We start from the raw sequence: 1,350 nt of genomic DNA on the forward strand, positions 1-1,350 counted from the left end.
TACAAAATACTGAGCAGTACCCCTTTAAGCTGTCATGAAAACCATGGAAACATCGAGAAACAGAGACAGTATGGCGGAGACTAAAGGGCATATGACAACTAAATGGAATGTGGTTCTCTGGATGAAACTCCAGAACAGAAAAAGGACATTATTGATAAAACTGGTGAAATCTCAATTAAGTCTTGGGTTTGGTTAATAGTAATAGGTCAGTGTTGTTTTTTTCATTTTGTGAAACATACATGGGCCACAGAAGAGATAACATTGTTGGAAACTGAAACTGGGCACTAGGTGCATGGAAACCCACTGCTCTAATGTTGCAACTGTTTGGTCAACCTGAAAATTTTCCAAAATAAAAGTTGATTAAAAATATAAGCACATGCCTGTAATCTCGGGAGACTGAGGCAGGAGAATCACTTGAACCCAGGAGGCAGAGGTTGCCGTGAGCCGAGATAGCAGCATTGCACTCTAGCCTGGGTGACAGAGGGAGACTTCATCTCAAAAAATAATAATAATAATAAGTGGAGAGTACACCTGATGTAATTACCACCCCTGTGGCAAGCTAAGTAAGTAAATATAAAGTTTGTAACAGTCCTCAAAGCTATACAGAATAATTATGCAAAATATTTTAGAAACTATTTTATAAAATGATAACGTATGACTATACTTTTTAAAAAGTGAATTTAGCTACACTGTATAAAAGTTGACATTTATATAATATCAAAATAGGTAGAGATGTAATCAGTTCAATGGAAAAAGTTAGAAAAACTAGCTTATTTAGAATCTCCTGGCAGGGACAATAAAGCTGTTTAAGTGACTAAGCATCTTAATTACTGCTGTACATACAGCCACTGCTTCTTTAGTGTTGTGCTATTGAATTTTTTTGCCATGCTACAAACATAATTATTTTGAAAGTATTACATTGTAGCAACAGGTTCAAGCCAACTTTTAGCAGTAGAATTGTAGGATCAAAAATGTGTGTATATTTTTTAGAACTTAGTGTGAGCGGTATTGACAAAATGTCCACCAAAACTGTTGCATCAATTTAAACTCCCAATTTTTTTTTAAAGACCATTGATGTTAGCTTAGGATGTGAATGTATGTAAAATATATTAAGCCAGTCTAGCTTATTTATACTTAAAAAAAAATTAACACGTTTAAATATGCTCAATGCAAAATTACTAATTTCAATCTATGTTTTAATTCAGTGCAATAAAATCTTTTAATCTACTTAAAATGATGAATTGGGCATCGTAAATTCAAATCAAATAAAAAAATGCTCCTTTTCCTGAAAGTAAAAATTTCTTCTACCTGCAGGTGTTTTGGTTTTGCAAAAGTCTTTTTTCCCTTTTC

Source organism: Homo sapiens, chromosome 2, assembly GCF_000001405.40.
Source record: "Homo sapiens chromosome 2, GRCh38.p14 Primary Assembly".
Classification (NCBI taxonomy): Eukaryota; Metazoa; Chordata; class Mammalia; order Primates; family Hominidae; genus Homo; species Homo sapiens.